General features: G+C 32.3%; 1 protein-coding gene across 42 annotated transcripts in view; it reads right to left on the reverse strand.

The window, feature by feature from the left end:
• The window catches only part of SOX5 (SRY-box transcription factor 5), a 1,033,147-nt gene that overhangs the window by 147,696 nt on the left and 872,039 nt on the right, over positions 1 to 13,412 (reverse strand). The gene's annotated exons all lie outside the window — the stretch shown is intronic.

Here is a 13,412-nt window from a genome sequence, read left to right on the forward strand (position 1 = left end):
TCTGCTCCTCAGATCCTAGTTTCAGCCTTGACGATGCCCACAGTTAGGTTTTGTGTGTTTCATTAGATGCAGAGAAATAAAAACTTATGTGTCCTTAATGAAATAACCCAAGAACTGCATTTACGTGTTCTTTAAGATAAAAAACAAACGTTGATTACTCATATGAAATGAATGTAAGCTTATTAGCAAATCAGAAATAATTAGAAAATAAGTTCAAATTGAGACACTGTGTGCCATTAAACACATTTCAACTTTTTGCTACCTCAGTTACCAGGACAATATAAAGTAACATAACTGGAACATATAGCAATACATGAAATATGAAGCTTTAGCTGCAGACATGATCCGTATATGTGGAAACAACCCCACAAAACTAAAGCAAAACAAAACCTTTTTATTAAAAATTCAAATCAATAGCTGCATCCTTAAACTCTGTGCATTATTCTTATTTTGTTACAGAAGGTAAATGTGATTATCCTGCTTATATTTCTTTTGTTCAAATTTCCCAGTGAGTAATTTCTATTTTTTAGCTAGCAGGTGCTAGATTGGTGTGAATGGCTAGTGATTGGATATTTATTTGTTTGTAGCATGCAGAGTATACTGAGTCAGTAATGCAAAATGTTACATTAGTGGTAAGAAGCGTTCCCGCAAACAAAAACAAAGATAATATTTCAATACAGCTCCCCCAATTCAACTATATTAGGGCCAAGTTAATGACTAGTTCCATTCCTTAAGATGTGAAAAATCATGCTCTTTGAGTAATAATGGATGCTGTCTCACAGTATCTGATGGAACACAGCAATGAGATGCTTGTCTAACTATACCATAGCTAAGGACACACTAGCAGTTTGCCACTCACTAGAACACTTGTCACTGAAAATAAAACATGTGTGAAATTACCAAAAAGGCCATGGTAGATGTTTCTTGAGCTGAAAATGTGAAATATTTTTGTAATTGGACAACCCATTGAACATAGTGTCATTTATGTAATCATGAGTTTTTTAATCTTCTAGTCAAGAAGAAATATTATACAATCTACCATTGTAAATATACCCAATAATAAAGAATAGCACATTACTTGCAAAAATCTGAGCAAAGTATGGCTAATTTTACTACTTTGCTAAATTTACTTTATACTTTCCAGCACAAAGCACTGTAACCTGCCTACACATAATGACAATATTTAAATAAAGATGAATTATGTAATACCATGGGTACCTTACTAAATCTATAGACTGCTTTCTTGATTAGAAATAATTTTTCTTTGTCATCAAAATTGTGGCAATTCTAATTTTATATAGACATTTTATGGGATGAAAAGAGAACATAGACGGACAACATGAATTCTTTCCATCCACTTGCCCTCTACCAAAGGCACTTTGATGGGCAGTTGTTAATGTTAATACCTATTCTGTTTCCCTCAGCTTCTTTTATAATGCATTTTTTCTATGTTGACCTTTGCACAATTCTATCTTTACTCTTTGAAACTCACAAAAACCCTATAAGATAAATATTTTCATCACCCCTATTTTACAGATAAAGAAACAGGGAAGCCTAAAGTCAAACAGATAGCAAATAAAAGAGCTAGAATTCAAATCCAGGCCAGCCTACCTACAAACTAGGCTTTTAATCACTATACTTTGACTCAAGCAAAGGATAAAATACTTATAAATAAATCTTACGTATCAAAATAAATTATAATTATAAATTAATCCTAAGTATCAAAATAAATTATAACTTGTATAAAAAATTTTAAATGACAAAAACCTTGACACAGCATGAAAATAATTATTTCAGCATGTAAATTCTTCTAAAGTATGGATAATGATTACAACAAAACTATTAAACATTAGATATCCTAGGAATCTTTTCTGCTATAATACAAGTAGATCCTGGATGCATAATAACCAATAAACTTTTTCTATGCAGAGCCTCCAAGAAAGTTGGAGGTAGGAGAAAGAGAAATCTAGTAAATCGAAAGTAGTTTGGAAGAATGGGGTAAATGTAGACAGCACTTAGAACCTAAGATGATGCCTTGGGTCCCTCCAAACCTCAGTCTCTCACACTAACCCAGGACAATCAAAGGGGATATTCCTTTGGTGAAAGATTAGTTTAAAAAGAAAATCTGGCAATTAAGGTGAGGATACCAGGACATTTCTACAATGCTTTTGGTGGAATACCACTGACGCTGCTGCTGCTGCTGATGATGATGATTCTTTGACAAATATTTATTAATTGCCTATGATGTATCAGATATAGTTCTAACTACTTGAAATACTATAGTGAATAAAACAATAAAAGCCTTGATTTCATGAAGGCTACCTTCCATTGCAATAAAATGCTAATAAAAATAATGTACTACTATAACTCAATCACACAGACTTTACCTAACTTAGGTCTGGAGTTCAAACCAAAACTTCCTAAATGGTCAGTAAAAACTCAATCTCCAAAATTAGAAATAAGTGTTTCCTAGTTTGTACTGCCTACTAGAAACTTGTAGAATAACCCAGTTCAGTATTTAAGGAGCATCAATTTAGATACTCTGATTCCCACAGATGAAGTTCAGCCAAACATTAATACACAATTTAAATTTAACAAATATTTAATACATGAGGAATGATTCAGCTTGTGTAAAGCAAAATAAGGAAAACAGCAGATTTAGATACCCAAAGATATCAAGGTAGTGGATAATCAGATAAAAAAATAAAATAATATGCTTAAAATATTTGCTTACAAAAAGGTTGCAATAAAAATTAGTAACAAGTAAAAAAAAACTTGAAAGAAGTTCAGGAAGATTTGAAAAATAATTGAAAAGAACTTTGAGAAATGAAAAATATAATAACAGGCCGGGCATGGTGGCTCATGCCTGTAATCCCATCACTTTGGGAGGCTGAGGTGGGCACATCGCTTGAGCTCAGGAGTTCTAGAGCAGCCTGGGCAACACAGCGACAACCTGTCTCTACTAAAGATACAAAAATTAGCCAGGTGTGGTGGCATATGTCTGTAATCCCAGCTACTTGGGAGGCTGAGGCATGAGAATACCTTGAACCCAGGAGGTGGAGGCTGCAGTAAGCTGAGATCATGCCACTGCACTTCAGCCTGGGTGACAGAGTGAGACCTTGTCTCAAAAAAAAAAAAAAAAAAAAAAGAAAAATATAATAACAGAAATTTAAAACTCATCAAATAGACAGCAAGTTAGACGTGATGAGAAATGTCACTAACCATAAAAGAAATCCAAAGAAATGAACTAGATTTCAGTCCACAGAGACAGAAAGATGGAAAATATAAAAGAGAGGTTAAGTGTCATAGAGTCTAAAATAAGATGGTTTAACAAATGCTTGGTCAAAAATTTTAGGAGAAAAAAAATTTTTTTAAATGGAGGAAGGCAATATTCTAAAAATTAATGACTGATAACTTTTCTGAATTTGAAAGATATAGGCCCATAAATGTAATGGGTAAAATTTACACAAGCAGGACAAATGAGAGGAAAAGGTCAGTCAATACTCTGTTATAAAACTAAAGACTATGAAAGGCAAAGATAAACCTTAAAAGCAGTCAGCTAGAAGTCATCAACCTAGGTGTGATAATTAGTTTAACAATAAATATCACAACAGTAGTATTAGACGTCAATGGAAAAAAATAAACTGACAAAAATATGTTTCCAGTAAACACTTTCAAGAATAAATCCAAAAGAAAGGCCAGTGATTTTCCATAAAAAATAGTCTATCACAAATTCTTTCACTAAAGAAATTTCTAAAGGATGTGTTTCAGAAACAAGAAAAGGGAACCTAGAAGAAATAGGTAAGATGCAAATAGAATAGTGAGTGAAAAAACTGGTGAACATGTGACTAAATACAAATATACTTTGTATTAGCTAGTGTCTAATATTTGAAGAAAAAATGAGCTCAATTCAACAATATTAGCATGTAAAACAAGAGAGGAGTAGCCATAGCTAGGGAGTGCTATGGTTATTTTAAAACTCAGGAGGAGCAATACAGTATTCATTAATTTTAGACTCTCTGAGCATAAGTAGAAATGTTAAATTTTCAAAGAAAACCCATAAAAAATAGAAAGATAGTAGATAATACCCAAACTGATAAATAGAAAATATAAAGAATGCTAAAAATTAATACATAAAAATAAAAGAAAATAGACACAAAAGGTGATACACACAGAAAGTATGAATTAAATGACAGACCTAAGTTTAATTACAATAAATATAAGTGGAGTAAGCTCATCAGTTAAAAAACAGAGACCAAGAGATTGAATATTTTTAAAAATCCAGCTATAGTTTACAAGAGATATACTTAAATCATAATAACAAAAAAGGTTGAAAAAGATGAAAAAACATCTATCAGGCAAATATTAACCAAAAAAGTAAACAAGTCTAAAGTATGTATATTAGAATTAGACAAAATAGACTTTAACACACAAAGCATAATTGTGGATACGGAGCTTCTATTATAAGTTATAACTTAAGAATTATTATGTCTTTCTGTTAATTCAAACTTTAGTGTTATAGAAATAATATAAAGTTATTACTGCTTCAGCACTTTTCAAAAGAATCCAAATATGCATAACAAAGGCAAAAATTATAATTGTATATTTTAATGTATTTTAAAACATTTATATGAACATGAAATAGTTTATAATGAACTAACACTAAAGTTTCAATTAACAGGAAGACATAATAATTTTTGTTATATCCATCCAGTAAAATAGCCTCACAATTTATGATGAAAAATTTAGAGAACTACAAGGAGAAATTAGCAATCCCCCATTATAATGGAACATTTTAGCACAACTTTCTTAATTACTGATAGCTCAAAAAAAAAAAATTTAGGTGATATAGGCAATTTCTACAACATAATTAGCAAGCTTACTCTAATGGATATATGTAGAATTCTGCATCCAATAATTACAGAATACAAATTCTTTTCAAAACCCACAGAACATTTATAAAAATTGTTCACACACTAAGCCATAAAGCAAGATCGAACAGATTTCAGAGATTTAGTGCTGTACAAAAATATGATGATAGTATTTAGTCTTAGATGAAAAGGGAAATCTTCATATTTTAAAATGAACCAAAATGAACAATTTCATTTTCTGAATAAGTGGTTTTGCCTTTAACTTTAGGTTTATGAGGTATATTTTAGAAGAGGCTGAAACATTTACTTGTGAATTGAGTCTAAGTTTCCATTAAAAATACAATTTGATTATTGAAATATGATCCTTTGTTTCTAAATATGCTTTACCATTGACAAGTGGGATCATTAAAATTGCTGTGTTTGTTCTCATTAATGTGTGGGTGGTTGGCAGGAATTAGAGGTTATTTAATATCATGTAGTGGTTAGCAATTCAAAACCTGTACAGTTTGAAGATTGCACTATTGGGAAAAACAATCAAGAATAAATTTGAAGCCACTATGTTTTTTAAAAAAATTAACATCACACACAAAGCTTTTAAATTCTCAACATAAATCTTAAGCTCTTTGTATAATATCTTCTTCATTGAAATAACAAAGAAAAGAATTCAAAATATTACATGTTTGAAAAAATACATACATGTATAAAAATGTTTTTCAAAAATTGAAAATAAAACAGCAATGAAATTGATATTAGCAGGAAATAAGATGAAAGCTGACTCCATCTTGTAAAATAAAGAAAAAGCTACTTAAGTAGTTGAATATAATTTTGATAAAACCAACATCTCTAACGTTTTCAGTTCCCATTTGTCACCTGACTTCTTGAGCACTTTTGAAAGGAATGTAAATATGTATCATAAAGGCAAAAATTATTGCATATTTTAATGTATATTAAAACCACATTTATATCAACACAAAATAGTTTGTAATGACTAGCTTTTTTACAATTATTGTGATAGCATTTACACAAATTTATAAAGGGAGTAAGATCTCCAATGTGATATGCAAGTAATTAATGTGATAAGCAAGTAACTAAGCCCTAATGATGGTGTAAATCTGAGTGTTAAACATATTTCTAAATCCAGAAGAAGGAAATACATAATAGAGATTTCTTAGCTTTTTAGTTATTCTGCTTGTGTCTGATTGTCCACACTGCCAGTGGGATTATTCTTCAGTACATTCCATTTTATATTTTTTAAAAAATGAAATGGAATGCATCAGAATTTCAAAAAGAAAACTGGTGAAAACTTCGGTTCATGTTCTTGAATTAATGCTATCTCATAGTTCATAACTGATCTGGAAAAATGTCAGTGTATCACTCATTCTTACTGGATCATTCATCTTTTAAAACTACTGTTTTTCATTTATTAATCTAAAACATGATTAATATTGCATACATAGCTACTACTCCTAAAGGTCACATGTGGTTCTCAATACCACACATGAATTTAGGAAGACCTGATCCTCATCACAGGAAACCTTTAGTATGTAAATGGTTCACCTGCAAAGATTTAACAGGAGAAAAAACTCAACGTTTCAATTTACACATTGATCAGCAATAGAAAGCTATTTCAAAATGTGAGGAAATAATAGTATTTTAATTTTATTAGCAAATAGTGTTTACTTGACATTTTGTATGCATCTGCTGACAGTTTTCTTAATCAATCATCCTCTGCACTAACCCTAACACCCCATTGGTTGATAAAATCTTTTCACCACATAATTTTGAGTAGAATGGAAAAAAATAAATAAAGAAAAAGTTTTCAGACAAGCCCATAGAGTTAAAAATATTGAAGTTAACAAAGGAAGTTAGAAAAGATGAGACTGGGGATGGGAGAAAGGGGAAAGACAGATGTCGAGAGACACATACATGATTGAGACTATGAGTAGGGTAGAGAAGGGAAAAACCTAAAGATAATGCATTTTAGCATCTTCCTCATTTCAGTATCACATTAAATATACAATAAAGATTTCCAGGTTTCTCTCTTTTAACTAGAAATGTGCTCTACTCTTAGTTCCATTTCTAAGCCACTATAGGTATTAAACAGCAATTTACATGTGATTTGCATATTTTTTTGTACTTGTGGTTTTGGTAAGTCTTCCAAACCTAATGACGGTTCCTTTGGCCAGCAACATAAATGCTATAATCACACAATTATTGTGCTGGGAACAGTTTAATTCAGCATTTTGTTCTCAACCACAGAACAATTTCTCAACAATTTTGGTTAACCAGACTAGCTAGCTGCCTGGAGAGAAAGAGAAATATTCACAAGATCTATTGTCTTACATAAAGGCAGCTACTAGATCTGCTGGAACTTCCTAGTATTGCTTTGCTCACTTCTCTTTAGGATCTCTCACATATCTGTCCTACAAAAAAATGACAAACTGCAGGTTTTCCTTTAAGGACTTGCTATTTGTTCAGTTCTTTTAATTACACATTTCCATACTTTTTAAAGAACATGAGGTTTTGGTGTGTCTGGAAATATAGGCCTATAGAAAAATGTACTTTAAAAACATTTAATAAATGATCCTGATACAAAGAACTGCAAATTCAAAAGTGTAAGTTCAAAACTCTTCCTTACAGCTATCCTGTAGTGCTTAAAGTGATGGTAAAGGCTTCCCAACTGCGGGTGATCTCATCTGTCATTTAAATTACATGACTTCCTAACTGTGCAACTGGCTTAATGTCAACCTTCATTCTATATTTTTAATTTTGAAAATAGAAATGAAAGCATTTACCATAAGCATGGCTGCTAAATGTTCTTTTTGCATTGTTATTTTAATATTAATTTATCAGAATGGAAAAGTGTGGGCTGAGCATATTGCTATAAAAATACTTAGAGATGCAGTATCAAATAATTTATGTACTTGTGTAAAATATGTATTGAAATTATCATCTTCCTTGACTATTTCTCATAGTAAAGACAACCATTAACTTAGCATCATGTCACACTTCATAGGTCTTGAAGCTACTCAAAGTTGTCTATAGTGAACTGAGTCAGTGAGTAGTCAAAGGTTGTAGTGACAGAAAATAGGCAACCCTAAAAGAAGGCCTTCTTTTCTCTCCTGCTGTTTTTTTCTTCTACTCCCTTTCTTTGTTTTCTTCTGTTTCTTCTTTCTATTCTCCTGCTTTAACTTTAGAAGACAGAGAAAAGGGTAGAGAAATTATAATCTCACGGTTAGAGAAATCCTAAGTATAGTAAACAGCAAAGTTCTGGTTTTTCCACATAAAGATACTCTCTGAAAACCAGAAAAGAGCTCAAACATAAAGATAACCCCTTAAATCAACAGGTGAAGACAAAATAGGACCTGAGAATTCTGGCAACTTAAAATTTTAATTGTGTGTCTCTATACATTTGAATAAGCAAGTAAAAATAATGTAGTGAAATACATTATCCAAAGGTTCTAAATGCCCAGATTATTCACTTCTTAAAGTATGTTAGTCTAGTAAGAACCTTACATGGTTTCTCATATTTTTTCTAGCTCTAAAAATCCTTTTTGTCCCCCCCCCCAAAAATCTAATACAGAACCCTAATTATGAAAGCTTAGCACGGGAAGCTCAGGTCATCCACAATGACCTGGTTCTCCTTCTCAATACCATGATCCCATCCCAGCAGCCCCCTGGAGGGACTCCATGGACCCCATGAGGTATTATCAAAATAATTTGAAACTACTGATTTACCATGTGACTTCATTGTAATTATTCAATACCAACATCTGATATAGTTGATAAAGTAGGAGATATTGTGTCTAATTAACACAATCAAGTATTCACTTATTGACTATCAGCTGCAGTAATGCACGAGCCTATTCCAACTTAGAGTCTTCATGTCTCCTAAATAAAAATTCAATAAAACACAACAATCTTCCATACAACAGGCACAGAATTAATTTCCCTTTAAGCATGAAATTCATTTACCATATTGTATAAGTCCCTGGTATAATTTCTAATTCTTTAATCCAGGTAATGAAGTGAGCTATAATTAGAGAGCAAACATTTGTAGAACAGAGCAGTCTATAAAAAGAGAATGCTGAAATAGTATCAGGTTCTTTTGAATGAATATAACTCAATTTACTGCAAAATTTATGCTAAAGAATGAGCCAGATATTAAATTCAGAATGAAAAAAAATTGTCTATATCCTTGCCACTTCCTGGTTAATTTGGCTGAGGGCCAATTTTCCAATGTTATGACCATCCTGTAGCCCCAGTAAGTGTTTTATTTATTTATTTTTGTATTGCATAAAAATATCAGCTTAAGAAGGGAAATGTGAAATGGATGACATATTTTAGAACAGCTTCTCCCAGAATACAAAAATATTCCCCAACTAAAAACTGAAACAAATAGTAGAACTACCAAGCAATGCCAATTGGCGACTCTCTAATGCCATTCAAACTTCACAAATACTGGGCTCTCAAACTGATTTTAATTATTCAAAAGAAAACTAGGAAATGGTTCAAATATCAATTGCTTTCACAGAAATACAAATTCTCTTTTAAGAAAAGCATATGACATATCCTTTCTATATCCTATTACATTGCAGTAATTACCTGTTCAGTTGTTTATGAACAGGGCCATAGCAAAAAAGGAAATTCTTTTTCCTTTTTTGGAAATTCTGATAGCAATCATCAAGACTATGCCTCTTGAAAGTTATTATTGATATAGGATGTAAAATATGTGAAAATAGATATATTTTCCATTGAAAACTGGAGGAGACAACAACAGTAAATAAAACATGGTTCACTACGTCCAGGTACGTTTCCAATAGAACAAATTCCAGGGATAATTTAAAAAAGGTTTCTGTTGACAGGCAGTCTTTATTTAAGAAAAACAGCCTCTGGTGTGGTGTAGTGTCAAGTTATACATGGATTATTGTAAACTCAGTTTGCTACTAAAGATTTATTTTACTATTTGGCATAGGGTTTATGTTAAGAGATTCTGTATATTTTGTACTGAGATTCAATGATACAGCACTATGCCATCTAAATGGCTTCCTACGTATTATAAATATGCACTAGTCACAGTAATACCACTTAACATCAAAAAAATTGAATGGGCCTACATGTGTCGTCACTAAGGAGCAAAACTTGTATTTTCAAGGCAGAATTTTGTGAACATAAAGCAAAATAATTTATGATTAAAATTACTGGAGCTCCTGAAATGCACGCTGATGTCCAACCTTTGGAAGTTTGTGTATATATACAGGCATGAAAGCATATATATAAATATATGTGTATACGGTGTCATATAGTATGATACACACGCACGATATTATACTAAATAAAGAAAAGAAACAACAGCATTGCGTTTTTTAAAAAGCACTTTTCGGATAAGCTGATCCTAAAAGAAAACAATGTTTTCAATGACTTAATAAACCCTACAGCACTTTCAATAAGCAAGGGACTCACAGAATTTTAAATATATCTAAACCCTTAAATAATAAATCTGAACCTATATTTTCAGAATCTGGTTTTCAACATGAGTCATTCATTCCCAGAAATCCTGGGTCCTATGGTTGGCTGATGGTAGCACTCTAAATTAGTAGCTACACAATGGAGAGCTTATATGATTGCAATGGTCCATATCCAGTAAAACTACCTAAACACACTGAATAATGAGCTCAATCTATAATAATTGAAAAAGAACCATTTACAGCTGCATACCACATATGACCATCTCTACAATGGCTGCAACGAAGCACTGGGGACTATTTTCTCTGAATCAGTGTGTTATTGGGTAGTGCCAGTTCACTTTTTTTTTTTCATTTTAACAAAAAGGTTTTGTTTGGTGTTTCAATCAGCCTGCCACTGATCACCTTTCACATATTAGCCTCTCCCCTAGAATACTCTAGACAATAGTATTGGTTCCATCTGTGCTTCCCATTAAATCCTGATAATCCTTTAAGAAACAGCTGGACCTTTGGGTCCCAAACACAAACTCTTTCTGTAGATCTATTTGGCTACAATTATGCTGATGCTGTACTTACATCTTGCTTGCAAATGCCTTTTATATGGTCCCTTGGGGCTGTGAAATAGAATGGCCTGACATCACCAATTCAGCAATACAATGATATAGTTCTCATCTCAATTATAATGTGATATTTAGTCACCTCTAATACCGAGCTGCACTTGGAAAATTATTTTTTAGACATGTGACAACATTAATGACAAGTTTCCAACTACACTGTATTATTAAATAATCAGGAAGTAACATCTTCACTTAATCAAATGGTTCTGATACACTCTCAGTATTGGAAACACTGAAATTTTACGTTTTACTCAAGCAATTACAGTGAGCAGTGAGAATAGTAACTTGTTCTTCCAGTGTAAAATAATTTCATTAGATTCACCTGACTGCATAGCAATAATAAAAATTAATGGCAAAATAGGAATGGTTGTAAAGTTATATGAGTGGCCTAACCAGTATCTGCAACTAGTGGTTTCCTATGCCTCACTTACATTCTATACCTCTCTCTATCCCTTATTTATTTTCCAATAGTTTAGCAAATTATCAGAGATCCTTTGCTAAGGACACACTGCCCAAGTAATTGCTACGAATTGGGCCTCAATTTTGCCATTTTTGTAGGAATCATTCTATCATTAACTAGAAAAATGGATCTTAATATGTCCACAATAATGTAAATATCACATACATGTACTAGACCTTGAGATTTATGAGGTCAGGAATTCTTTCTTGTGTGCAGTATTATCTTTTCCATTTCAAAAAGTATCTGAAAGTGTAGGCGTGTTCAATAAATGTCTGCTGAATGAACAACCAAATAGATGAGAGTATATCCTTTCTAAAAAAAGATCAGGAATTTTTGTACAACTTTTCCCATCAATTCCAATATTTCACAAGCATCTCTTTCAGAAAATTATTATCTGACAGAAATCCCCAAGCTAGTGTAAGCTCATTTGTTTTTGTTTTACCTTCCAGGTATACTGAAATAGCTCTTTCACATATCTAACGGTCACTACTAAGTCAATATCAATTTTTTTAGGCCATTTAGAGCTAATCTGTTTAGCCCTTCTTAATGCTTAAGTCGTCTTTGTTTTCTCCTCCCCAACCATTTGGCTACAGCATTATCCTACGGGTATAGTTAAATTCTTACTTAGGAGCTACTTTCTGATATCCAAATTGTATATTCTTAATTAGATTTTTTTGTTGTTGTTGTTGCATATGCTGTCAAAACCAACTTTTTAAAAGCTTGGCAAATGTGATAGCTGCCCGCTGCTGAGCTTTTAATCTTCTGTGACTCAGGGCTGCTGCTTCTGTCCTCATTCATAGCCCAATATTCAAATACTGTTTATTTACTTTTTCCCCTGTATGTGCACTGCCATATACTACTTTTATTATTGACTATGCTTCTTCAATTTACTTAAGTCATTGTTAATTCTAATTAATCTCTGGAGTTCTGATCACCTCTTCTCATCTATTTTTATGCTTTTATTGTCAGATTAAACTTAATTAGTGCATTCTCTATCATGTCATTCCAGTTGTAAGTCTTTTTCCTATCTCCCAAAAATACATGCCATATACATCACCTCATCTGCTGTTTGAGCTTTGTCATGATACGAAGATGAGGAAAATGTAGAAAAATAAAAATACATTGTTAAGGAAAGATACAAGGAGAAAGAAACATGAGAGAAGAGAATAAGGAATGAAGGATTTGGAAGTATGTCCTAGAGTCCGGTGAATAAATAAATTCTCACAGTGAGAGATATGTTTAATTCAGAAAAAATACATTTAAGACGCATTGCTGGCACTGAGGCTACCTGGAGGAAATGCTTTTTCAGATTCGCATATATACATCCAATTTCTTGTTGATATTGTTTATTTCACAATGACTTTACATTCAACATGAATAAAACTGAGCCCTTTTCCATATGGAATCTGCTTCTAATGCATATAATCACTACCTCAAGTTGGGTCAGTCACTTCATCAATAGAGTAATTTCACTAATTCCTATTCAACATTCAGTTCAGGCCTCACTTTCTCCAGCAAGCGGTCCCTGAGTCCTTATTCATGCCCCTTGTCTCTTCCCAATTGGGAGGGGGAAGTATATTGGCATTATTTCATTCATCACATTAAATTATAATTAAAAGATCTGGTTACAAGACATGTCATATCACAGAATATAGAATAAACTCATCTTTGGCTATATGCCAGAAACGGCCATAAGTGGCAGTGAAATTCTATTCCTTCACCTTTCCATGTAACACATAGAAAGACATATTCATTTATTCACACAATAGTACAACCAATGATTTATTTTGTGGACTCTTACACGCCAGACATTGTTAGACACACATTACAAAGACATGGTCTAATCAATTAACAAGTTGATAAATATTTATTGAATAAATCCTCTACTCTTCATGCCTACTTATTTCCAATGTTGTAAATGGAAATGAGTATCCTCTTTATCTTTTCCTCTCACTATTCATAAAATTTATAACTTTTTTCACTCAGCCACCAGGTGTAT

The sequence above is a fragment of the Homo sapiens genome, chromosome 12, assembly GCF_000001405.40.
Source record: "Homo sapiens chromosome 12, GRCh38.p14 Primary Assembly".
Lineage (NCBI taxonomy): Eukaryota > Metazoa > Chordata > Mammalia > Primates > Hominidae > Homo > Homo sapiens.